A 26,348-nucleotide genomic window follows, 5' to 3' on the forward strand; every position below is an offset into this window, starting at 1 on the left:
CATAATGACCCACCAAACACATGCTTGCCATATAGTCAAACCCAGCCCCTGACCACTAACAGAAGCTCTCTCAGCTCTACTAATAACATCTGGCCTGGCCATGTGATTTCACTTTAATTCTACTACTCTTTTAACCCTAGGCCTATTAATCAACACACTAACTGTATACCAATGATGATGTGATATTATCTGAGAAAGTAAATTTCAAGGCCACCATACAACAGTTGTCCAAAAAGGCCTCCAATATGGAATAATTCTATTTATTATCTGAGAAGTATTCTTCTTTGCTGGTTTCTTCTGGGCATTCTATCACTCTAGTCTAGCCCCAATGCCAGAATTAGGAGGACACTGACCCCCCAACAGGCATTTTTCCCCTCAAACGCTTAGAAGTACCTTTCTGAATACATCTGTATTATTTGCATCAGGAGTTTCAGTTACTTCGGCTCATCACAGCCTGATAGAAGGAAATCGAAAGCAAATAATTCTAGCACTATCCATCACGATTACCTTAGGTATTTACTTCACCCTCCTACAAATCTCAGTACTTTGAGGCCCCTTTTACTATCTCTGATGGGATCTATGGCTCAACATTCTTTACAGCCACAGGCTTTCATGGATTTCATGTTATTACTGGATCAACATTTCTCACTATCTGCTTCCTCCGCCAATTAAAATATCACTTTACAAGATGTCTGAATAGGAATAGCTCCAGTCTGCAGCTCCCAGCATGATCGACGCAGAAGATGGTGATTTCCGCATTTCCAACTGAGGTACCTGGTTCATCTCATCGGGACTGGTTGGACAGGGGGTGCAGCCCACAGAGGGCAAGTTGAAGCAGGGCGGGGCATCACCTCACCCAGGAAGCACAAGGGGTCAGGGGATTTCCCTTTCCCAGCCAAGGGAAGCCATGACAGACTGTACCTGGAAAATCAGGACACTTTTGCCCAAATACTGTGCTTTTCCAACAGTCTTACCAAATGGCACACCAGGAGATTATATCCCATGTCTGGCTTGGCAGGTCCCACACCCACGGAGCCCTGCTCACTGCTAGCACAGCAGCCTAAGATCCACCCGTGAGGCAGCAGCCTGGCAGGCGGAGGGGCGTCCGCCATTGCTGAGGCTTGAGTAGGTAAACAAAGTGGCCAGGGAAGCTCGAACTGGGTGGAGCCCACCACAGCTCTGCAAGGCCTGCTGCCTTTGTAGACCACACCTCTGGGGGCAGGGCATAGCTGAAAAGGCAGCAGAAACTTCTGCAGACTTAAACGTCCCTGTCTGACAGCTCTGAAGAGAGCAGTGTTTCTACCAGCATGGTGTTTGAGCTCTGACAATGGACAGACTGCCTCAGGTGGATCCCTGATGCTTCTGTAGCCTAAGTGGGAGACACCTCCCAGTAGAGGCCAACTGACACCTCATACAGGTGGGTGCCTGTCTGGGACGAAGCTTCCAGAGGAAGGATCAGGCAGCAACATTGGCTGTTCTGCAATATTTGCTGTTCTGCAGCCTCCACTGCAGATACCGAGGCAAACAGAGTCTGGAGTGGACCTCCAGCAAACTCCAAGAGACCTGCAGCTGAGGGACCTGACTGTTAGAAAGAAAACTAACAAACAGAAAGGAATAGCATCAACATCAACAAAAAGGGCATCCACACCAAAACCCCATCTGTAGGTTACCAGCACCAAAGACCAAAAGTAGATAAAACCACAAAGATGGGGAGAAACCAGAGCAGAAAAGCTGAAAATTCTAAAAACCAGAGGGCCTCTTCTCCTCCAAAGGATTGCAGCTCCTTGCCAGCTGGATGGAGAATGACTTTGACGAGCTGACAGAAGTAGGCTTCAGAAGGTTGGTAATAACAAACTTCTCCAAGCTAAAGGAGGATGTTCAAACCCATCGCAAGGAAGCTAAAAACCTTGAAAAAAGATTAGACCAATGGCTAACTACAATAAACAGTGTAGAGAAGACCTTAAATGACCTGATGGAGCTGAAAACCATGGCATGAGAACTACAGGACGCATGCACAAGCTTCACTAGCCGACTTGATCAAGTGGAAGAAAGGGTATCAGTGATTGAAGATCAAATTAATGAAATAAAGCGAGAGGAGAAGTTTAGAGAAAAAAGAGTAAAAAGCAACAAGATAAAGCCTACAAGAAATACAGGACTATGTGAAAAGACCAAATCTACATTTGATTGTTGTACCTGAAAGTGACGGGGAGAATGGAACCAAGCTGGAAAACACTCTTCAGGATATTATCCAGGAGAACTTCCCCGACCTACCAAGGCAGGCCAACATTCAAATTCAGGAAATACAGAGAACTCCACAAAGATACTCCTCGAGAAGAGCAACCCCAAGACACGTAATTGTCATATTCACCAAGGTTGAAATGAAGGAAAAAAATGTTAAGGGCAGCCAGAGAGAAATGTCGGGTTGCCCACAAAGGGAAGCCCATCAGACTAACAGCGGATCTCTCAGCAGAAACTCTACAAGCCAGAAGAGAGTGGAGGCCAATATTCAACATTCTTAGAGAAAAAGACTTTTCAACCCAGAATTTCATATCCAGCCACACTAAGCTTCATAAGTGAAGGAGAAATAAAATCCTTTACAGACAAGCAAATGCTGAGAGATTTTGTCATTACCAGGCCTGCCTTACAAGATCTCCTGAAGGAAGCACTAAACATGGAAAGGAACAACCAGTAGCAGCCACTGCAAAAACATACCAAATTGTAAAGACCATCGATGATAGGAAGAAACAGCATCAACTAACGGGCAAAATAACCAGCTAACATCATAATAACAGGTTCAAATTCACACATAACAATATTAACCTTAAATGTAAATGGGATGAATGCCCCAATTAAAAAACACAAACTGGCAAATTGGATAAAGATTGAAGACCCATCACTGTGCTGTATTCAGGAGACCAATCTCATGTGCAGAGAAACACATGGGCTCAAAATAAAGGGATGGAGGAAGATCTACCAAGCAAAGGGAAAGCAAAAAAAAAAAAAAAAAAAAAAAAAAAAAAAAAAGCAGGAGTTGCAATCCCGGTCTCTGAAAAAAAAGACTTTAAGCCAACAAAGATCAAAAGAGACAAAAAAGGCCATTACATAATGGTAAAAGGATCAACTGGGCAAGAAGAGCTAACTATACTAAATATATAGGTACCCAATACAGCAGCACCAAGATTCATAAAGCAAGTCCTTAGAGACCTATAAAGAGACTTAGACTCCCACACAATAATAATGGGAGACTTTAACACCTCTCTGTCAATAATAGACAGATCAATGAGACAGAAGGTTAACAAGGATATCCAGGACATGAACTCAGCTCTGCACCATGTGAACCTAATAGACATCTACAGAACCCTCCACCCCAAATCAACAGAATATACATTCTTCTCAGCACGACATCACACTTATTCCAAAATAGACCACATAGAAGTAAAGCACTTCTCACCAAACGTAAAAGAACAGATATCACAACAAACTGGCTCTCAGAGCACAGTGCAATCAAATTAGAACTCAGGACTAAGAAACTCACTCAAAACCGCACAACTTCATGGAAATTGAACAACCTGCTCCTGAATGACTACTGGGTAAATAATGAAATGAAGACAGATATAAAGATGTTCTTTGAAACCAACGAGAACAAAGACACAGCATACCAGAATCTCTGGGACATATTTAAGGCAGTGTGTAGAGGGAAATTTATAGCACTAAATGCCCACAAGAGAAAGCAGGAAAGAGCTAAAATCGACACCTTAACATCACAATTAAAAGAACTACAGAAGCAAGAGCAAACAAATTCAAAAGCTAGCAGAAGGCAAGAAATAACTAAGATCAGAGCAGAACTGAAGGAGATAGAGACACAACTCTTCAAAAAATCAATGAATCCAGGAGCTGGTTTTTCAAAAAGATCAACAAAATAGATACACTGCTAGCAAGACTAATAAAGAAGAAAAGAGAGAAGAATCAAATAGAGGGAATAAAAAATGGTAAAGGGGATATCACCACCGATCCCACAGAAATACAAACTACCATCAGAGAATACTATTAACACCTCTACACAAATAAACTAGAAAATCTAGAAGAAATGGATAAATTCCTGGACACATACACCCTCCCAAGACTAAACCAGGAAGAAGTTGAATCTCTGAATAGACCAATAACAGGCTCTGAAATTGAGGCAATAATAGCCTACCAACCAAAAAAAGTCCAGGACCAGATGGACTCACAGCCGAATTCTCCTAGAGGTACAAAGAGGAGCTGATACCATTCCTTCTGAAACTATTCCAATCAATGGAAAAAGAGGGAATCCTCCCTAACTCATTTTATGAGGCCAGCATCAGCCCGATACCAAAGCCTAGCAGAGACACCACAAAAAAATAATTTTAGACCAATATCCCTGATGAACGTCGATGTGAAAATCCTCAATAAAATACTGGCAAACCCAATCCAGCAGCACATCCAAAAGCTTATCAACCACGATCAAGTCGGCTTCATCCCTAGGATGCAAGGCTGGTTCAACATTTGCAAATCAATAAACGTAATCCATAACATAAACAGAACCAATGACAAAAACCACATGATTATTTCAATAGATGCACAAAAGGTCTTTGACAAAATTCTACAGCCCTTCATGCCAAAAACTCTCAATAAACTAGGTATTGATGGAATGTATCTCAAAATAATAAGAGCTGTTTATGACAAACTCACAGCCAATATCATACTGAATGGGCAAAAACTGGAAGCATTCCCTTTGAAAACTGGCAAAAGACAAGGATGCCCTCTGTCACCATTCCTATTCAACACTGTGTTAGAAGTTCTGGCCAGGGCAATCAGGCAAGAGAAAGAAATAAAGGGTATTCAATTAGGAAAAGAGGAAGTCAAATTGTCCCTGTTTGCAGATGACACGACTGTATATTTAGAAAACTTGGTCATCTCAGCCCCAAATCTCCTTAGGCTGGTAAGCAACTTCAGCAAAGTCTCAGGATACAAAATCAATGTGCAAAAATCACAAGCATTCCTATACACCCATAACAGACAAACATACAGCCAAATCATGAGTGAACTATTCACAATTGCTACAAAGAGAATAAAATACCTGGGAATCCAACTTACAAGAGATGCGAAGGACCTCTGGACCTCTTCAAGGAAAACTACAAACCACTGCTCAATGAAATACAAGAGGACACAAACAAATGGAAGAACATTCCATGCTCATGGATAGGAAGAATCAATATCGTGAAAATGGCGATACTGCCCAAAGTAATTTATAGATTCAATGCCATCCCCATCAAGCTACCAATGACTTTTTTCATAGAACTGGAAACAACTACTTTCAAGTTCATATGGAACCAAAAAAGAGCCTGCATTGCCAAGACCATCCTAAGCCAAAAGAACAAAGCTGGAGGCATCACACTACGTAACTTCAAACTATACTACAAGGCTACCGTAACCAAAACAACATGGTACTGCTACCCAAACAGAGATAGACCAATGGAACAGAACAGAGGCCTCAGAAATAACACCACACATCTACAACCATCTGATCTTTGACAAACCTGACAAAAACAAGAAATGGGAAAAGGATTCCTTATTTAATAAATGGTGCTGGGAAAACTGGCTAGCCATATGTAGAAAGCTGAAACTGGATCCCTTCCTTACACCTTATAGAAAAATTAATTCAAGATGGATTAAAGACTTAAATGTTAGACTTAAAACCATAAAAGCCCTAGAAGAAAGCCTAGGCAATACCATTCAGGACATAGGTGTGGGCAAGGACTTCATGATGAAAACGCCAGAAACAAAGGCAACCAAAGCCAAAACAGACAGATGGGATCTAATTCAACTAAACAGCTGCACAGCAAAACAAACTACCATTAGAGTGGACAGGCAACCTACAGAATGGGAGAAAATTTTTGCAATCTACCCATCAGACAAAGGGCTAATATCCAAAATCTACAAAGAAATTTACAAGAAAAAAACAACCCCATCAAAAAGTGGGCAAAGGATATGAACAGACACTTCTCAAAAGAAGGCATTTATGCAGCCAACAGACATATAAAAAATGCTTATCATCACTGGTCATCAGAGAAATGGAAATCAAAACCACAATGAGATACCATCTCATGCCAGTTAGAATGGTGATCATTAAAAAGACAGGAAACAACAGATGCTGGAGAAGATGTGGCGAAATAGGAACACTTTCACACTGTTGGTGGGAGTAGTGTAAACTAGTTCAACCACTGCAGAAGACAGTGTGGCGACTCCTCAAGGATCTAGAACTAGAAATACCATTTGACCCAGCCATCCCATTACTGGGTATACACCCAAAGGATTATAAATCATGCTGCTATAAAGACACATGCCCATGTATGTTTACTGTGGCACTATTCACAATAGCAAAGACTTGGAACCAACCCAAATGCCCATCAATGATAGACTGGATAAGAAAATATGCCACAAATATCCCAAGGAATACTATGCAGCCATAAACAAGGGTGAGTTCATGTCCTTTGCAGGGACATGGATGAAGCTGGAAACCATCATTCTCAGCAAACTAGCGCAAGGACAGAAAAGCAAACACTGCATGTTCTCACTCATAGGTGGGAGTTGAACAATGAGAACACTTGGACACATGGCAGGGAACATCACACAAAGGGGCCCGGGGGAGGGATAGCATTAGGAGAAATACCTAATGTAAATGACGAGTTAATGGGTGCTGCAAATCAACATGGCACATGTATATCTATGTAACAAACCTGCACATTGTGCACATGTACCCTAGAACTTAAAGTATAATAAAAATATATATACATCACTTTACATCCAACCAGCACTTTGGCTTTGAAGCCACTGCCTGATGTTGACACTTTGTAGATGTAGTATGACTATTCTTATATGTCTCTATCTACTGATGAGGATCCTACTCTTTTAGTATAAAGAGTACCATTGACTTCCAATCAACTAGTTTCGATAATATCTGAAAGATATTAAATAACCTGACACTAGCCTTAGTAACCGACACCTTACTGGCCCTACTACTACTACTAATTACATTTTTACTTCCACAAATTAATATTTATATAGATAAATCCAGCCCCTATGAAGGCAGATTTGACCCAATAACCTCCAACTGCCTCCCCTTTTCCATAAAATTCTTCCTAGTAGCCAACACATTTCTCCTCTTAGACTTAGAAATCGCTCTAATACTACCCCTGCCATGAGCTATTCAAACAAATTACCTAACAACAATAATCACCACAGCCCTTATACTAGTTATCATTTTAATCCTAGGCTTAATTTACAAAAGAACTCAAAAAGGGTTAGATTGAATTGAATTGGTAAATAGTTTAAGTCAAAAGAAATGATTTCGATTCATTAGATTATAATAAACCATATTTACCAAATGCCCTCTATTTACATCAACATTATATTACCATATACCATATCACTACTGGTAAAATTAATCTATCAAACCCACCTAATATCATCCCTATGTGCCTAGAAGGCATAATACTGTCAATATTTATCATAATTACCCTTATAACTTTAAATATACATTTTACTCTAGCATCTATAATACCCATTATCCTCCTAGTATTTGCTGCCTGTGAAGCCGCAGTGGGCCTTGCCTTATTAGTTTCAATCTCCAACACATACGGCCTAGATTACACACAAAATCTAAATTTACTTCAGTGCTAAAAATTATTCCGACAATTATGCTGTTACCAATAATATGATTCTCTAAAAATTCTATAATCTGAATTAACATGACCATCCACAGCCTACTTATCAGCCTCATCACCCTATTGTTTTTTAACCAATTCAACAGTAACTCATCCAACTTCTCACTAGTTTTCTCTTCTGATCTGCTGATGTCACCCCTCCTAATTTTAACAGCCTATTACCTTTTATAATCCTAGCAAGCCAATATTAACTGTTCAATGAATCACCCCCACAAAAAAGCTCTATATTTCTATATTGATTTCCCTGCAGATTTTTTAAAATTATAGCATTCACAGCCACAGAACTAATTATATTTTATATTTTCTTTGAAGCCACACTAATTCCTACCCTAATTATTATTATCACCCGCTGAGGGAACCAACCAGAACGCCTCAATGCAAGCTCATATTTCCTATTGTACACACTAGTAGGGTCCCTTCCTCTACTTGTTACACTTGTCTACACTTTAAATACTTCAGATTCTCTAAATATGCTAGTAATGATATTTACTGACCAAGAACTGTTAGCCTCCTTATCCAATAATCTTATATGACTAGCATGTATTATGGCCTTTATAGTAAAAATAACTCTATTCGGACTTCACCTGTGACTCCCAAAAGCCCATGTAGAAGCCCCTATTGCCGGCTCAACAGTACTTGCAGCGGTACTCCTAAAACTAGGCGGCTGCGGTATAATACGGCTTACCCTTATCCTCAGCCCCCTAACAGAATATATAGCCTACCCCTTCCTCACACTATCCCTATGAGGGATAGTTATGACAAGCTCCATTTGTCTACAAACCGATGTAAAATCAGTTATTGCCTACTCCTCTGTAAGCCATATACCACTTGTCATCATAGCTCTCCTAATCCAAACCCCTTGAAGCTTTACAGGTGCCGTCACCCTTATAATTACCCATGGAGTCACTTCATCCCTGTTATTCTGCCTAGCAAATTCCAACTACGAGTGAGTCCAAAACGGAATCATATACTTACCTGAGGCCTTCAAATACTCCTCCCACTGATATAGCCTCATGATGACTTCTAGCAAATCTCACTAATCTTGCCTTACCCCTACCATTAATCTAGTAAGGGAACTCTCTGTGATCATGGCTTCATTCTCCTGATCAAACATCACTATTATGCTTACAGGACTTAATATACTAATTACAACCCTCTACTCCCTACATGTACCAATCACAACACAATGAGGGACACTTACATATTACATTAACAGTTAAACCTTCCTTTACACGAGAAAATACATTAATATTTATACATGTTACACCTATTCTTCTATTATCCTAAATCCTAAAATTATTATGGGCTTTACATGCTGTAGCTATAGTTTAACCAAAACATTAAATTGTGGATCTAATAATAGAAGCCTGCAACTTCTTATCTACCAAGAAAGTATGCAAGAACTGCTAACTCATGCCCCCATGCCTAACAATATGGCTTTCTCAACTTTTAAAGGATTGGAGTCATCCGTTGGCCTTAGGAACCAAAAACATTGGTGCAACTCCAAAGAAAAGTAACAAATATGTATTTTTCCACTACTATAATAGCCCTAATCGCCTTAATCACACCAATTATTACGTTAGTCAACCCCTGCAAAAGAAGATTCATACCCAAATTACATAAAAATAGCCATCACATGCGCCTTCACCATTAGCCTCATCCCAACGTTTATATATACAGACCAAGAAGTCATTATCTCAAACTGACATTGAATGACAATCCCAACTCTTAAACTCTCACTAAGCTTTAGACTACTTCTCCATAATATTTATTCTAGTAGCACTATTTGTTACCTGTAGAATTCTCAATATGATATATAAACTCAGACCCTAACATTAATCAATTTTTCAAATATTTTCCTCATCACAGTATTCTTCCAATATTCCACCAACAAACTCTTTCAACTCTTTATCGGATGAGAAGGTATAGGAATCATGTCTTTCTTACTAACTGGCTGACAATATGGCCGAGCAGATGCTAATACAGCAGCCCTCCAAGCAGTCCTGCACAATCGCATCGGCGACATTGGTTTTATTTTAGTTATAGCATGGTTCCTCTTTTCCTCCAACACATGAGAGATTCAACAAGCATTCATTCTAAACCCTACCTCTAATCCCCTTCCATTAATTCGCCTTCTCTTAGCAGCAGCAGGAAAGTCAGCTAAATTCGGCCTCCATCCCTGACTTCCATCCGCCATAGAAGGCCCAACCCCAGCCTCAGCCCTGCTCCACTCCAGCACTATAGTTGTAGCAGGAGTTTTCCTGCTCATCCGCTTCTACCCTTTAATAGAAAATAACCTCTGAACCCAAACCTTTACATTATCTCCAGGGGCTGTTACCACCTTATTTACAGCAATCTGCGCTCTAACACAAAATGATATTTAAAAAATCATAGCATTCTCCACCTCAAGTCAGCTGGGCCTTACGATAGTCACAATTGGCATTAATCAGCCACATCTAGCATTCCTTCACATGTGCACCCACACCTTTTTTAAAGCTATATTATTTATATGCTCAGGCTCCATCATCCACAATCTCAATGATGAACAAGATATTTGAAAAATAGGACTATTCAAGACTTTACCCTTCACTTCCTCTTCCCTTATTATTGGTAGCCTTGCACTTACAGATATGCCTTTCTTCACAGGCTTTTACTCTAAAGACCTTATTATCGAAACCACAAATACTGTCATATACCAACGCCTGAGCCCTTTCTATTACTCTTACTGCCACCTCCTTAACTGCTGGCTATAGTACCCGTGTTATTTTCTTTGCTCTGCGGACTGGCCATGCAGGAGTGGTAAGGGCCCGGGCCACGCGCGACGCCTGGGGGCCCTGCTGCATCGCCCGTTTGTTCGGGGAAGGTGGGGGGGACGCTTCATGCCGCCGCGCCCAGCAGGGTTTCCATGTCTGAGATGCCCGCTCTGGCCCCAAGAGAATGAACCAGCCGCAGAGGATGGCATCCGTGGACACGGACAAGGAGCTCAGTAACCTGGACTTCAGCATGATGTTCCCGCTGCCCGTTGCCAACGGGAAGGGCCGGCCCGCCTCCCTGGCCGGGGCGCAATTCAGAGGTTCAGGTCTTGAGAACTGGCCCAGCTCAGGCTCCTGGGGCAGCGGCGACCAGAACAGCTCCTCCTTTGACCCCAGCTGGACGTTCAGCGAAGGCGCTCAACTTGCTGAGTCGCACGGCAGCCACTCTCCATTCACATTCCTGGGACCGGGACTCGGAGGCAAGAGCAGCTAGCGCGGGCCTATTCCTCCTTTGGTAGAGACGCAGGCGTGCGCAGCCTGACTCAGGCTGGCTTCCTGCCGGGCAAGCTGGCCCTCAGCAGCCCCGGACCCCTGTCCCCCTCAGGCATGAAGGGGACCTCCCGGTACTACCCCTCCTACGCCAGCAGCTCTGGCGGACAGAGGCGGACAGCGGCCTGGACACGCAGCCCACGAAGGTCGGGAAGGTCCCGCCTGGTCTTCCATCCTCGGCGTACCTGCCCAGCTCAGGTGAGGAGTACGGTAGGGATGCCGCCGCCTATCCATCCGCCAAGACGCCCAGCAGCGCCTGTCCCGCCCCCTTCTACATGGCAGATGGCAGCCTGCACCCCTAAGCCGAGCTCTGGAGTTCCCTGGGCCAGGTGGGCTTTGGCCCCATGCTGGGCGGGGGCTCATGCCCCTCGTCCCTCCCGCCCAGCAGCGGCCCTGTGGGCAGTGGCGGAGGCAGCAGCACGTTTGGCGGCCTGCACCAGCACGAGCGCGTGGGCTACCGGCTGCACGGAGGAGAAGTGAACGGTGGGCTTCCGGCTGCATCCACCTTCTCCTTGGCCCCCGGAGCCACGTAGGCGGCGTCTCCAGCCACACGCCTGTCGGCGGGGCCGACAACCTCCTGGGCTCCCGAGGGACCACAGCCAGCAGCTCTGGGGACGCCCTCGGGAAGGCCTGGCCTCAATCTACTCTCCGGATCACTCAAGCAATAACTTGTGGTCCAGCCCCTCCACCGCCGTGGGCTCCCCCCAGGGCCTGGGAGGGACGTCGCACTAGCCTGGAGCAGGAGTCCCTGGTGCCTTATCACCCAGCTACGACGGGGGTCTCCACGGCCTGGAGAGTAAGATAGAAGACCACCTACCTGAACGAGGGCATCCACGTGCTCTGCAGCCACGCCATGGGCACGGCTAGCAACGTGCACACGCTGCTACCCGGCCACCGGGCGCTGGCCTTGGGCTTCGCCGGCCCCATGCTGCTGGTGGGGGCAGCACGCAGGCCTGGTTGGAGGCGAACACCCTGAGGACGGCCCTGCGGGCAGCGCCAGCCTCATGCACATCCATGTTGCCCTCTCCAGCTAGCCAGGCGCCCTCCCCGACCTCTCTTGGCCTTCCGACTCCTGCAGTGGGCTAGGGCGAGCAGGCCACTGGGGAAATCAAGCGGGAGGAGGAGGATGAGGAGAACACGTCGGCGGCTGACCACTCAAGAGGAGAAGAAGGAGCTGAAGGACCCCCGGGACCGGACCAGCCCAGACAAGGACGAGGAGGAAGATGACCTTTTCCCCCCAGAGCAGAAGGCCGAGTGGGAGAAGCAGGTGGCCAATAACGCCAGGGAGCGGCTGCGGGTCCCTTAAGAGGGCTCTTAAGGAGCTGGGGCGCATGTGGCAACTGCACCTCAACAGCGAGAAGCCCCAGACCAAACTCCTTATCCTGCACCAGGCCGTCTCGGTCATCCTGAATTTGGAGCAGCAAGTGCGAGAGCGGAACCTGAATCCCAAAACAGCCTGTTTGAAACGGCGAGAAGAGAAGGTGTCGCGCGTGTTCGGAGGCCCCCAGATGGTGCTTTCAGCTGCCCACCTGGGCTTGAGTGAAGCCCACAACCCCGCTGGGCACGTGTGAAAGGTACGCCTCCGTGGGACGAGCCACCCGCCCTCAGCCCCGTGGGCTGGGCCCAGAACGCCCACTTGAGGCCCTGGGCTTCATCCACATCCACACCTCACACAACTGTTGTCAGCATTGAGCCAACACCGACCTGATGAGGCTCAGAGTGATGGGGGCAAGGAAGGTGAGTGATGGGGGTGAGGAAGGTGACGCTGGGTCCAGGAGCTCCCTGGGACCCCGGCTCACCCCTCACTGCCCTCGCTCCCCCTGCCCCCGTATCTCAGCCACCATGTCACCCTGTGACCTGCCCCATGGACCCTGAAACTGCATCTTGGCCCTGTTGTCTGGGCTGGCAGGAGCTTTTTTTTTTTTTTTTTTTTTTTTTTTTCCAGTAAACAAAACCTGAATGCAAGCAACAAAACATACACTTTGTCAGAAAAGAAAAAAATGCCTTAACTATAAAATGTGGAGAAATCGTAACATATCACTTGAGGGAGATGCTGTGGAAACTTGGCTTATTCTTCAAAAGCCAGCAGCAAATTGTGCCTAAGCGTAATTTTTTTTAAGGAAAATAAAAAGAACATTAGTTATTTAAAAAAAAAAAAAAAAAAAAAAAAACCCGGACTGACCTTGGCCAGGCTGGATCAGACTGGCCTAGAGTAGACTTCAGAGGGTGACTCCCCTGGTGGGCTGGTCTCAGCTGATCTTGACTGTCCCGCCTCCACACAGGGCCCATCCATCTTCCCCTTGATCCCCTGCTGCAAAGACATTGCCTCTGATGCCACCTCCATGAACCTGGGCTGCCTGGCCACAGGCTACTTCCTGAAGTCAGTGACTGTGACCTGGGACACAGGCTCCCTCAACAGGAGCGCTGGGACCTTCCCAGCCACCACCCTCACGCCCTCTGGCCATTACGCCATCACCAGCCAGCTGACTGCCTCGGGTGCGTGGGCCAAACGCTCACCTGCAGCGTGGCACACACTCTGTGGTCCGCAGACCAGGTCAGTACCTTCAGCATCTACTCCAGGGACTTCACCCTCCCCACCGTGAAGATCTTACAGTCCTCCTGTGATGGCAGTGGACACTTACCCCCGACCATCCAGTTCCTGTGCCTCATCTCTGGGTACACCCAGGTGCCATCAGCATCACCTGGCTGGAGGATGGGCAGGTCGTGGATGTGAACTGGTCCATCGCCTCTCCCATACTGGAGGATGAGCTGGCCTCCACACAAAGCAAGCTCACCCTCACCCAGAAGCGCTGGCTGCCCGACCACACCTACACCTGCCAGGTCACCTATCAAGGTAACACCTTTGAGGACAGTGCCAAGAAGTGTGCAGATTCTAACCCGCAAGGGGTGAGCACCTACCTGAGCCGGTCCAGCCCCTTCTACCTGTTCATCCGCAAGTTGCCCACAATCACCTGTCTGGTGGTGGACCTGGCACCCAGCAAGGAGAACGTGAAGCTGACTTGGTCCCAGGCCAGTGGGAAGTCTGTGGCTCAGGTCATCCTAAGGCAAGAGAAGCAGTGCAATGGCACGTTCACCATCACGTCCACCCTGCTGGTGGGCACCAGAGACTGGATCAAGGGGGAGACCTACCAGTGCAGGGTGACCCACACCCACCTGCAGTCCACGACCAAGATCAGCGGCCCATGTGCTCCCCCACAGGTCTACGTGTTTGCAACGCTAGAAGAGCCGAGGAACCAGGACAAGCGCACCCTCACCTGCCTGATCCAGAACTTCTGGCCCAAGGACATCTTGGTGCAGTGGCTGTACAACGAGGTGCAGCTCCCGGACACTTGGCACAGCATGACGCAGCCCCGCAAAACCAAGGGCTCTGGCGTCTTAGTCTTCAGCTGCCTGGAGGTTACCAGGGCTGAATGGGAACAGAAAAACGAGTTCATCTGCTCTGTGGTCCATGAGACAGCGACTGGCTCACAGACCGTCAAGTAACTGTTGTCTGTAAATCCCATTAAATGTCCTCCTGCCTTCCTCCCCACTAGGGCTCTGTCCAGCTGTGTGGTGGGAAGGGCTGGCCAGACCTTCTGTCCACTGTTGCAATGACCCCAGGAAGCCACCCCCAATAAACAGTGCCTGCTCAGAAAACAAACAAACAAACAAACAAACATAAAAACCCTAGAGGAAAACCTAGGCAATACCATTCAGGACATAGGCATGGGCAAGGACTTCATGACTAAAACACCAAAAGCAATGGCAACAAAAGCCAAAATAGACAGATGGGATCTAATTAAACTAAACAGCTGCATAGCAAAAGAAACTGATCAGAGTGAACAGGCTACCTACAGAATGGGAAAAATTTTTTGCAATCTAGCCACCTGACAAAAGGCTAATATCAAGAATCTACAAAGAACTTAAACAAGTTCACAAGAAAAAAACAACCCCATCAAAAAGTGGGTAAAGGATATGAACAGACACTTCTCAAAAGAAGACATTTATGTGGCCAACAAACATATGAAAAAAAGCTCATCATCACTGGTCATCAGAGAAATGCAAATCAAAACCAGAGTGAGGTACCATCTCATGCCAGTTAGAATGGCGATCATTAAAAAGTCAGGCAACAACAGATGCTGAAGAGGATGTGGAAAAACAGGAATGCTTTTACATTGTTGATGGGAGTGTAAATTAGTTCAACCATTGTGGAAGACAGTGTGGCAATTCCTCCAGGATCCAGAGTTAGAAATACCATTTCACTGAGCAATTCCATTACTGGGTATATACCCAAAGGATTATAAATCATTCTACTATAAAGACACATGCACATGTATGTTTATTGTGGCACTTTTCACAATAGCAAAGACTTGGAACCAACCCAAATGCCCATCAATGATAGACTGGATAAAGAAAATGTGACACATATACACCATGGAATACTATGCAGCCATAAACAAGGATGAGTTCATGTCCTTTGCAGGGACAAAGATGAAGCTAGAAACCATAATTCTCAGCAAACACAGGAACAGAAAACCATACACCACTTGTTCTCGCTGATAAGTGGGAGTTGAACAATGACAACATATGGACACAGGGAGGGGAACATCACACACCAGGGCCTGTTGTTGGGTGGAGGGCTAGGGGAGGGATAGCTTTAAGAGAAATACCTAATGTAGTTGATGGGTTGATGGGTGCAGCAAACCACCATGACACGTGTATACCTACGTTAACAAACCTGCACCTTCTGCACATGTATCCCAAAACTTAAAGTATAATAAAATTTAAAAAAAAAACAGTGAACATTTATTGTAGGCTTACATTGGGCTAAATGCATTTTATGGATAATCTCATTTAATCCTCATAACAACCCTTGGAGAACATGTATGATTATTATCTCTATTTTAAGCATGGAGAACTGAATAGCTTACCCAAGGTGGCATGACTAGTAAATCACTGGACCAGGATTTAAACCCAAAAAGTCTGATCCCAGAGTTCATGCTTATAAGCCTTCCTAACCATGATAATGCTTTAATCTGGCATTAATTGTTCTCTAATTTGGGTAGGTTTGAAATTTTTCATAATAAATATTAAAAATACTTTTTGAGGAAATGTCGTCATGATAAACATTAGAACTGCGTTCATCTAATTACTTTTAGGGTATGAGTGAAACTAAAAAGTAAGACTCATCTAAAAATAATCATCTGTTTTGGCCATATCCCCAGTGATACATGAATTTAATTGTTTTTATTGTTTTCAGAATGAAAAATTAAAGAGGTTAAATAAAATTAGCTGGCAATCAAAAAATATTAGTTATATGAAGATTCAGAGATTTGGTTATACTTAATGAATACAAGCTAATAAATATTTATTAAGACTCTACTGTGCTCCAAATACTATACAGGGAGGTAGGGATATGAAGATAGGCTTAGCATCAGAAAAGGACTGTCCCTTAGTAGAAAGGCTGAACTAAAAGGAAAAGTTTGACGTGATAGGCAAATTCAACTGACAGGTCCACTACCCATAGTCCCTTCAAGAGCTCATAATTAGGAAAAGTCATATGTATAATATGGCACTTTCAATAATTAAGTGCAATAAGTGTAAGTGCAATAATTAAGGTACTGGGAAAACATAACAGTACAAATAATTCAGCTGAAGATTTATGTAAGATAACTAAGATGACATTTCAACGATTGGTTGAATTGACCTCTCCCTCATGAATGGGATTAAGGCCCTTATAAGAGGCTTCATGCAGCATTTGGCTCCTCTTGCCTTTCCACTTTCATCCATGTGAGGACACGGCATTCCTCTCCTCTAAAAGATGTGGCAACAAGGCTCCCCTTGGAAGCAGAGAGCAGCCCTCACCACACACCTGAACCTGCCAGCACCTTTATCATGGACTCCCAACCTCCAGAAGTATGAGAAATAAATTTCTGTTCTTTATAAATTATCCATTGTCAGGTACTCTGTTATAGCAGCATACATGGACGCCCAGTACATCATGTTAATGAGTTCAGACCTTCTTTAGTAGACAGTGCGTAAGGTGGGAAATTAGAGGCTTTATCCAGGGGAATAACATGGTGAGATTCATATTTTAGAAAGATAGCTCTACTTTTGTTATAGAACAGCAGTTCTGAAAGTGTGGGGACTTTAGGGTGTCTGTGAAGTAAAAAATATTTTCATAATAATGGATGTTATTTGCTCTTTTCACTCATTTTTTCATAAGTATAGTTTTCCAGAGGCAATAAGATATGTTTTCTATTTAACCAAACATTGAAGAGACTTGCAAAAATGTAAAACAATGTGACTCTTATCAAAGTTTATTTTGGAAATAGTTGTTTTCCATAAAATACATTACTTATGTTAACAGGTAATGGTTTTATCTTAAATAAATTAATAAATATTTTTATATTTTATTAGCTTTAATATTTAATATGGTAAATACTGGTAGATATAACTCACAGAAACAAAAGTTTTTTGGCAACCTCAGTAATTTTTAAGAGTATACGAGGAAGCCTGAGATCAAAAGCTTTGAGAACTACTGACAGAGGGGACGTTGTATTAATGAGAGGCTAATAGTAGAGAGGCAGCTAATTAGATTTTATGAGGATCTAGGCCACTGGTTTTCAAACCTTTTAAGTATATATGCTCACTAAAAGAATTTAGAAAAACCACATCCTCTTACACATTTTTAAATTGATAGCTAATTTTTTTCTTTGTAAGTAGTTATAATGTATTTTCTAAAGTACTGTAAATATTGACATTTAAATAACAGCTATGTCAATCCTTTAAATGTGTCCAACTGAATCTAAATAGTGCTTGCAGTGAGCGGAGACCTCGCCACTGCACTCCAGCCTGGGCGACAGAGCGAGACTCCATCTCAAACAAACAAATAAATAGTGCAGCAATTTGATACCCACTTATCACCCACTTAAAAAGATTATATGAATAGACTTTTATTTTTTTGTACAAACTTTGTATCATTCCTTTTTCTCTTTAAAATAGTATTCCCACTTCCCTTCTCATTCCAAATTTTGCATAATATGTTACACTTTGTATTTGGATAATCTTATGATCACCTATTTTCTTTGTAACCAAGATATGTATATAAGTAAGTTGAAATTAATTAAAAATTTTCCTGTGACCAACAAACTTGTAACTATTCACATTTTTCTTCTGGGTTATCATTGAAGTTACTAGGATACAGTTTTCCAAAGCAATGTAAATAACAAATTTGGATAATTGCTTTAAAAATTTTATTGGTGAATGGAACAATCCCTCCCCTCCAATTGGTTTGTATATCCTCGGATGAATATTATTTATTTCTATAATGGGACAAGATTAAGCATAAATTCTGTGTTCATTTTGCACTTTACAGATGTAAACGCTGAGAAAACTTGTTTGTGTAAGTGAGTGGACAGGAATGGAAGGAGTTTTGTTATAATAGTATCATTCATTTCTATGACGCCTTCTGAGATATGCAGGAAAAAAGTACAGTAATATACCATTAAAAATTATCTGTTATTGGGCAGTTTCATTTGATCAGATCCATTATGTTTCAATTTTATTAAAAGCAGAGAATTAAAACCACTTGACTTTCAAAAATGAGTTTACTAACCAGTCATCAGGTTCATCTGTTTTCTCAATTTCTGAAAAGTATACCAAAAAGCTTTTAAAATTAATTCCAACTATATGTTACACTTTCACGTGGATGTACCTTGTTTAAACTAATACATTCAGAAAAGTTTGAAAAAACAGACTATTATTAATACATTATTATTAACATATTTTATCATGTTTTAAATATATGATTTAAACACAGCAAACCTCTCAGCTACCTCAAAGGTTGAGTAGATTTTGTGAAGAATGTCCTTCATACAACCCATTTGGTAATGCCAGGCATCAAACAAATCACTTAATTTCTGGCAGAAAAACTCAGACTTCATTTTTCAAGTCACTAAATATATTAATAATATGTGATTTTTTTAAAACCTGAGAAACAAATGACAGAACAAATGCATGGAGGTATGTTTATTATGAAGCTAATGAAGCATATCCAGAGGTCCTCCTTCCAAGGTTCCTTTCTAATTTTAAATAGAAAATTATGCACTTTCATGTATAATTTTGTATTCTTTGTCATAATGAAAGCCTAAAAAAAAAAGGCTTCAAATTATATAAGCTTTGGGACCTGTATCTCTGCCTATACATGTGAAAAAATCATGAGGGCAGTCAGGATAAGCTGAAGATGATATATATATCTGGCATAATTAATTTCATATTATGAAAATAAGATAATTTCTCATTACTTAATTTGCAATAAATAATACAGAGTAAAATATGGCTAAGATTATAACTTATGAAGTAAGGTATATGGTACATGGCATGGTCATTCCTTCAGTAAATGTGTTAGGGGGAGGTATGAAGTGAATTCTGACTTTGGGGAATAATTAGAAGCAACTTGTATGAAAATCAGAAATAACTTATTTTTCCTCATGATCAAAATTTTCATATGTACTTAATGAACACAAAAAATATATACTGCTAAAAGCAAATCAGGCAGTTAGCATATAGTTTTATTTTTATATTTGCAAGTAGAAAATAAATATTTTATACAATGAAATGAAGTTCATTAAATTTTATGTAAATATTTTAGAATATGAATTGATAAAATAAGTTTGAGCTAACTTATTGAATAATAAACACTGTCTTAGTCCCTTTATGCTGCTATAACAGAATACCTGAAAATGGATAATTTATAAAGAACAGAAATTTATTTCTCACACTTCTAGAGGTTAGGAGTCCATGAAAAAAGTGCTGGCAGGTTCAGGCGTCTGGTGAGAGCTGCTCTCTTCTTTCCAAGATGGAGCCTTGCTGCTTCCTCCTTCAGAGAGGAGGAACACCATGTCCTCACATGGACAAAAGTGGAAGGGCGAGAGGGGCCAAATGCTGCATGAAGCCTCTCATAAGGGCCTTAATCCTATTCATGAGGGAGAAGCCCTCATGGCGTAATCATCTCTTAAAGGCCCCACCTGTTAATACCATCACATTAACAACACCTGAATTTTGGAGGAGACACATAGCAAACACTAAATCTGAAGTCTGAAAGAACTCAATTTTTATTCACAGGATTTTGCCCATGATATCATTTTTTTAAAAACTCAATTTCATTTAAAAGAAACTTTGTTATCTATATTGTTTTTCTTGTTCGAAAAGGCTCTTTTGTTTTAAGCTAACAATATGGTTGACGGTAATAACTGGGGGAAAAAGTGCCTCTGCTTAAATGTTGTAAAAAATCGGTGAAACAGGATTTTGGACTCCTGGAGGATCCTTTACTCTTTTTACTACAGAAGTACCCATTGGATGATCTTTGTACATTATTCTTCACCTTGTGTGAAGACCTCTGTGCTAGTCATGAGATAAGGATGTGATGTAAACTGTAACAATGGGTTAGGAGACTGATTGGAGATATTTCTAAGCTATACTCTAAAGGGACTTAGTGGGTCATTAGACACTGGAGTGAAAGATGCGTCAAAAATAATTAAGATTTTCAAATTGAGCAGCTAAATAGATTGTGATGCTATTTATTGCATAAGAAACAAAATAATCAGCAAGTTTTGGAAAGAGGATGGAATTCTGTTTGCCTATAGATCTTTAATGTGGAAATGTTCTAAAAGTCTGGAGCACTAAACAAAGGTCAAAGATATGGTTATAAATTTGGGAGACTTTAGTATATAGGTGGATGATACTATCTAAGGGAAAGTTTTTAACCAAGAGAGGAATAAATCTGATGAAGAGACCCTGGGAAACCTTCAATTTAGAAGAGGCAGAATAGTAGTAGTAGTGTTGGGAAAGTATAATTGAAAACAAAATCTTCCAACCCAGAAAACCTTTCCACAAAGATAGAAGGAAAACAATTTTATGATTGAGTAAGCATTAGAGCAGGATGTGATGTGTATCACAAGCAGTCCCCTAAGAGATTTGCAAAGACAGAAGGAAATCTCACCCTTTTATATAGCCAACCTGATATAACCCCTTTCATTCAAGTTCTTAGGATAAACATTAACTAGTCCTCAAGTAAGAAGACTTGACAGCACTATTTGCCACATACGTAGTTTATTCTAAATTCACTTGGTAATTGGAGTGACTTTGCTAATTGGCTTTATACAAAGGAAAATACACTTTTCATATCTTCATGACAGGAGGTAGTTTTGCAGCTTGGAAGGAGGCTCCTGCTGAAGTTAGGCTTCTACTCCCACAGAAACTGGGAGTAAGGGTGCTATCTTCCTTGATGACTGAATTCCCAAGAGATAGTTACACGTTCTTGAGAAAGACATTCATGGGTCACAAAACTGGCAAGAGGCTTTGAAGCAAGAGATTTTTAAAAGATTTACATACACTTCAAAAAGACAAAGAATTTACAAGTTTTCTGAATGCTCTAAGAACAAAGAAGGAGGAGTCTTTCTTCTTATTTTCAACAAGGGGAATTAATTTTGTTCTTTTTAAATTTGTATTTACCCTTACATAAGTGATAGAACAGACAGAAAAAAACAGCTGTGGAAATGTGCGGGAAATTACAATGAGTGCTATATGAAAACCAGAGGAAGAGCATATTTTGCAAGGAGTGAGGGAATAGTGCTGTCTTCAAGAACTTTGCATTCCCCTTGTGGAATAAAACTAACATACATTTGATAATAACATAACTAGATATGTAAAATTTGTAAAGACTAAATGTAAAAAGAATATAGCATTAGGATGTTTAATTACGTAGTATGGACTGCCAGTACTATAGGAATTCAGTGGCCTGAGGGCAATAAGACCTGGAGTAGGCAGGGAAGGATTTGTGGAGATTAGGAAACTTAAATGGGATTTTGAAGGAGAGATTAAATCTATGTAATTCACATTTTTAATATCAGTCTAAAACACATCTCTGTAGCTGTCTCTATAATAAAGATAAACTTAGCAATGGAACCATGATACTCACAGTCCACTAGGCCAAAACGTTCCCTTGGATAGTGTTAATGCTTGAGTGAACAATGACACCATTGCTGTGACTTTTTCCTTTCTGTATTCCTTAGTCACCCCTCTTCTGGTTAACAGGTTCTTTCTTTTATAGCTTTAAGTCTTGCCTTGGAACCAATTTTTTTCTCCAGCATATTTATATGGATTCATTTAAAGCTTAACTTGCAAAGAGCAGCTTATTTTCACTTCTTAGAAGGTACTCTGCAGTTAACCTTGGTGCTGTCTACAGAGACAAAAATAAATTTCTTTGGATTTTAGTTATCTTTCTATGTCAGAGATTCCCAAGACCATCCCCAGGTTGACGATTTGCTAGGAAGACTCACAGGACTCAGCATATATCCATATTCATGGTTATGATTCATTATAGGGAAATAACATAAAGCAAAATTAGGCACTCTCCGCCTGGCACATACTAAAGTTACATACTCCCAGAAGAAAAGTAGATGTCAGCATAAACCGTATTGTTTGTACAAACAATCTAGGCATAGTGAGTCACTCTTATTTAGGGAATTGTGGAATCCCTCCTGAAATCTAAGTTCACAGGTGCCAGGCAAAAAGGCCCTTTTAATCATAGAAGCCTCAGGCCTGCTGTGATAACTCTTTTCTCTACATGTTTTTTTTTTTAATTTATACAATGATTTGCAGGTAAAATCAAGAGTCCACATATCAAGTAACTGTCTTTTAAATGTTATTCATATATTTACAGGTATGCTCCAGAATCACTGACAGAGAGCAAGTTTTCTGTGGCCTCAGATGTTTGGAGCTTTGGAGTGGTTCTGTATGAACTTTTCACATACATTGAGAAGAGTAAAAGTCCACCAGCGGTCAGTGTGCTTTTTATTTACTTTCAGTTTTTTGTTTGTTCGTTTGATTTTTATAAATTTATGGGGTACAAGTACAATTTTGCTACATGCATACATTGCATAGTGGTGAAGTCAGAGCTTTTAGGGTATCCACCACCTTAATAACATACATTGTATCCCTTAAATAATTTCTCAGCATCTACTCCACCAATGGCTCACCCTTCCAAGTCTCTATTGTCTATCATTCCACATTCTACGTTCATGTGTATACATTATATAGCTCCCGCTTATAAGTGAAAACGTGGTATTTGTCTTTCTATGGCTGATTTGTTTCACTTAAGATAATTACCTCCATCCATGTTGCTACAAAAGACATAATTTCATTCGTTGTTATGGCTGAATAGTATTCCATTTTGTATGTATACCACATTTTCTTTATCCAGTCATCCACTGATGGACACTTAGGTTGATTCCATGTCTTTGCTTTTGTGAAGAATGCTGCAATAAACATACAGGTGGAGGTATCTTTTTGATACAGTGATTTCTTGTCCTTTAGGTAGATACCCCATAGTGGGAATGCTGGATCGAATGGTAGTTCTATATTTAGGTCTCTGAGAAATCTTTATAATGTTTTCCATAGAGGTTGTACAAATGCACATTCTCACCAACAGTGTATAAGAGTTCCCTTTTCTCCACACCCTTGCCAACATCTGTTATTTTTTCTCTCTCTCATTTTTTTTTCCATTCTGACTGGAGTCAGACATATCTCACTGGGGTAATTTTTTCTCTTTTTTTTTTTTGTCATTCTGACTGGAATAAGGCATATCTCATTGTGATTTTAATTTGCATTTCTCTGGTGATTAGTGATTAGCATTTTTTCATATGCCTCTTGTCAGTTTGGGTGTCTTCTTTTGAAAATGTCTATTGATCTCCTTTGTCCACTTTTTAACACGATTATTAGGGGGTTTTGGTTGAATTGCTTGAGTTCCTTATAAATTCTGGATGGTAGTTCCTTGTCAGATACAAAGTTTGCAAATATTTTCTCCGATTATGCAGGTTTTCTGTTCATTCTGTTGATTATTGATTTTGCTATGCTGAAATTTTTTAGCTTAATAAAGTCTCATTTGTCTATTTTTGGTTTTGTTGCCTATGCTTTTGAGGTCTTTGCCATGAATTCTTTGTTTACACTCATTTCCATTAAAGTTTTCTCTAGGTTTTTTTTCTAGTATTTTTCTAGTTTCAGATCTTACATTTAAGTCTGTAATCGATCGAGTTAATTTTTCTATATGGTGATAAATATGGGTCCAGTTTCATTCTTCTGCATATGGCAATCCAATTTACCAGCACCATTTATTGAAAAGGGTGTCCTTTCCCATACTGCGCAAAGCAATCTGCAGATTCAATGCAGTTCCTATCAAAATACCAATGTCATTTGTTCACAGAATTAGAAAAAACAATCCTAAAATTCATAGGGAACCAAAAAGAGCCCTAATAGCAAAAGCGATTCTAAGCAAAAAGAACAAAGCTGGAAGCATCACATTACTTGACCTCAAATTATATTATAAGGCTACAGTAACCAAAGCAGCATGGTACTCATATAAAAAACAAACACATAGATCAATGGAACAGAATAGAAAACCCAGAAATAAAGCCACAAATTTATAGCCAACTGATCTTTGACAAAATCAACAAGAACATACATTCAAGTTTTTTTTTAACATGAGAAAGGATTTATCCAAAGAATAGTAAGCCTAGGACTCACTTTAGAGCTTTTATTGCTTATTTTTAAGGCAATATCAAACAAAATAATCCCAAACCTATTCCTAAACTAGCTTGAATTTTTAAAAAGGGGATATTGGGAAGCTAGTTAGTACAGTCTCTTAATATTACTTTTATTAAATCCAGTAAGCTAATTCATTCTAGGAATTATTGCATAAGTTAAAATAAACCTTCCAAAGTAATTTTTCTCTTGGTCATCATAGAATTTTTTTTAATATGGAAAAGTATGAAAAAATAAAAATCATCTCTAATGCAATTACTCAGAGAAGACCACCTCAATATTGTGGTATGTTACCTTTCAGGCTTCATTTTGTGTATAAAAGTATATACAAAGAAGTATATAAAACTTTTATAACTTTTATAAAAGTTCACTTATATAAATATATATTATTTTATAAAATTAAGGTCATACTGTGCAGTTTGCTCTCCTTCTGTTTCATGAAGTATTACAGCATGGGTAATTTACTGTATTAGAAAAATGTACTGCAAATATGTTTTCTAATTGCTGAGTAGCATTCCATCATAAGGCTATATATGTCTGAACAATCATTTTCCATTCTTCAGTCTTTTAAGTAACACTTCAGTGAACATAGTGAACATCCTCATGCATAAATATTTATATTTATCTCTGATAATTATCTTAGAATAAAAGTATAAGTAAAAGTTATGAACTATTTTAAAATTTTTTTAATTTCAAAATGCTTTCTAGAAAAGCTGTGCCAAATTATATCTCAACAGCAATGCATAGGGATGTACATTTCATCATTTGCCACTATTGGTTATTATATTTTTATGTACTTTTGCCAAGTTGATAGGGGAGAAGTTATATATATTTTAATTTCCATTTCTTTTCTTAATGTGGTTGACTATATATTTGTTGGGTGTTTAGGGTGGGTATGTATATATGTGAATTATCTCTTCTGTGCTTTGCCTATCTTTATATTTGTAATTTTTTTTCCCAATTTATAAGAGCTGTCTATATTGAAAATAAGTAAATGATGTTTAAGTATTTTCCTAGCTTATAATTCAGATTTTAATTTTATAAACTTTGACATATGAAAGTTTTCTTTGTTGTATTTATGCTTATTCATTCATTTTTTCTTATATTCTCTTTTATATTCAACTTTTTATTTCAATTGAAATGTAATATGATAAAAATATGAGTTTTTTAACAACAAAAAACTCAAAGGAAATATGTTTTTAGTTCATGTGTTTTGAGCCCTCCTCAGGGGATTTGTGTTGAGTTTATTACAGCTATGGAAATGGAAATTATAGAAGTTCCATATTTAACAGCCTTATGTTTTTGATCCTAAAAGTAGTTTGTTTTGAAAAGGTTTGAAAACATACAAAAGCACACATATACTAAATTTTTTCCCATTGACTGGAGGAAATTGAGAAAGAATTTTGCTACAAATTAAATGTACAAAAAATATTGAAAGTGGGTTTGTTTTAGGAATTTATGCGTATGATTGGCAATGACAAACAAGGACAGATGATCGTGTTCCATTTGATAGAACTTTTGAAGAATAATGGAAGATTACCAAGACCAGATGGATGCCCAGATGAGGTAACAATTTTTTTTTAATCCAGGGTAGTCATGCATTTTCTTTTACTTTTTACTCAAGGACTTCAGTTCACTTCCTGAAATTTAATGTGCGGAGCTTCCAGATAAACAGCATAATCAGATGACTGTGGAACAA

The 26,348-nt window shown here is 40.4% G+C and overlaps 2 protein-coding genes and 7 pseudogenes across 10 annotated transcripts in view; 8 read left to right on the forward strand and 1 right to left on the reverse strand.

Moving 5' to 3' along the window:
* JAK2 (Janus kinase 2) overlaps positions 1–26,348 on the forward strand; it is a 145,559-nt gene that overhangs the window by 115,842 nt on the left and 3,369 nt on the right. For all 9 annotated transcript variants that reach the window (NR_169763.1, NR_169764.1, NM_001322194.2 and 6 more), the window contains 2 exons: positions 22,773–22,890; positions 26,102–26,215. Coding sequence is in view for 7 of the 9 variants with exons in the window: in NM_001322194.2 (NP_001309123.1) it covers positions 22,773–22,890; positions 26,102–26,215 (232 nt within the window). In the remaining 2 variants the exon portion in view is untranslated. The remainder of the gene's footprint in view (positions 1–22,772; positions 22,891–26,101; positions 26,216–26,348) is intronic.
* Positions 1–26,348, reverse strand: part of INSL6 (insulin like 6) — a 193,664-nt gene that overhangs the window by 108,256 nt on the left and 59,060 nt on the right. The gene's annotated exons all lie outside the window — the stretch shown is intronic.
* On the forward strand, positions 5–778 carry MTCO3P11 (MT-CO3 pseudogene 11; annotated as a pseudogene).
* MTND3P14 (MT-ND3 pseudogene 14) lies at positions 7,003–7,337 on the forward strand (annotated as a pseudogene).
* MTND4LP6 (MT-ND4L pseudogene 6) lies at positions 7,407–7,698 on the forward strand (annotated as a pseudogene).
* On the forward strand, positions 7,706–9,059 carry MTND4P14 (MT-ND4 pseudogene 14; annotated as a pseudogene).
* Positions 9,292–10,523, forward strand: MTND5P14 (MT-ND5 pseudogene 14; annotated as a pseudogene).
* TCF3P1 (transcription factor 3 pseudogene 1) lies at positions 10,630–13,190 on the forward strand (annotated as a pseudogene).
* IGHEP2 (immunoglobulin heavy constant epsilon P2 (pseudogene)) lies at positions 13,221–14,678 on the forward strand (annotated as a pseudogene).

Source organism: Homo sapiens, chromosome 9 (assembly GCF_000001405.40).
Source record: "Homo sapiens chromosome 9, GRCh38.p14 Primary Assembly".
In the NCBI taxonomy this organism is placed as follows: Eukaryota; Metazoa; Chordata; class Mammalia; order Primates; family Hominidae; genus Homo; species Homo sapiens.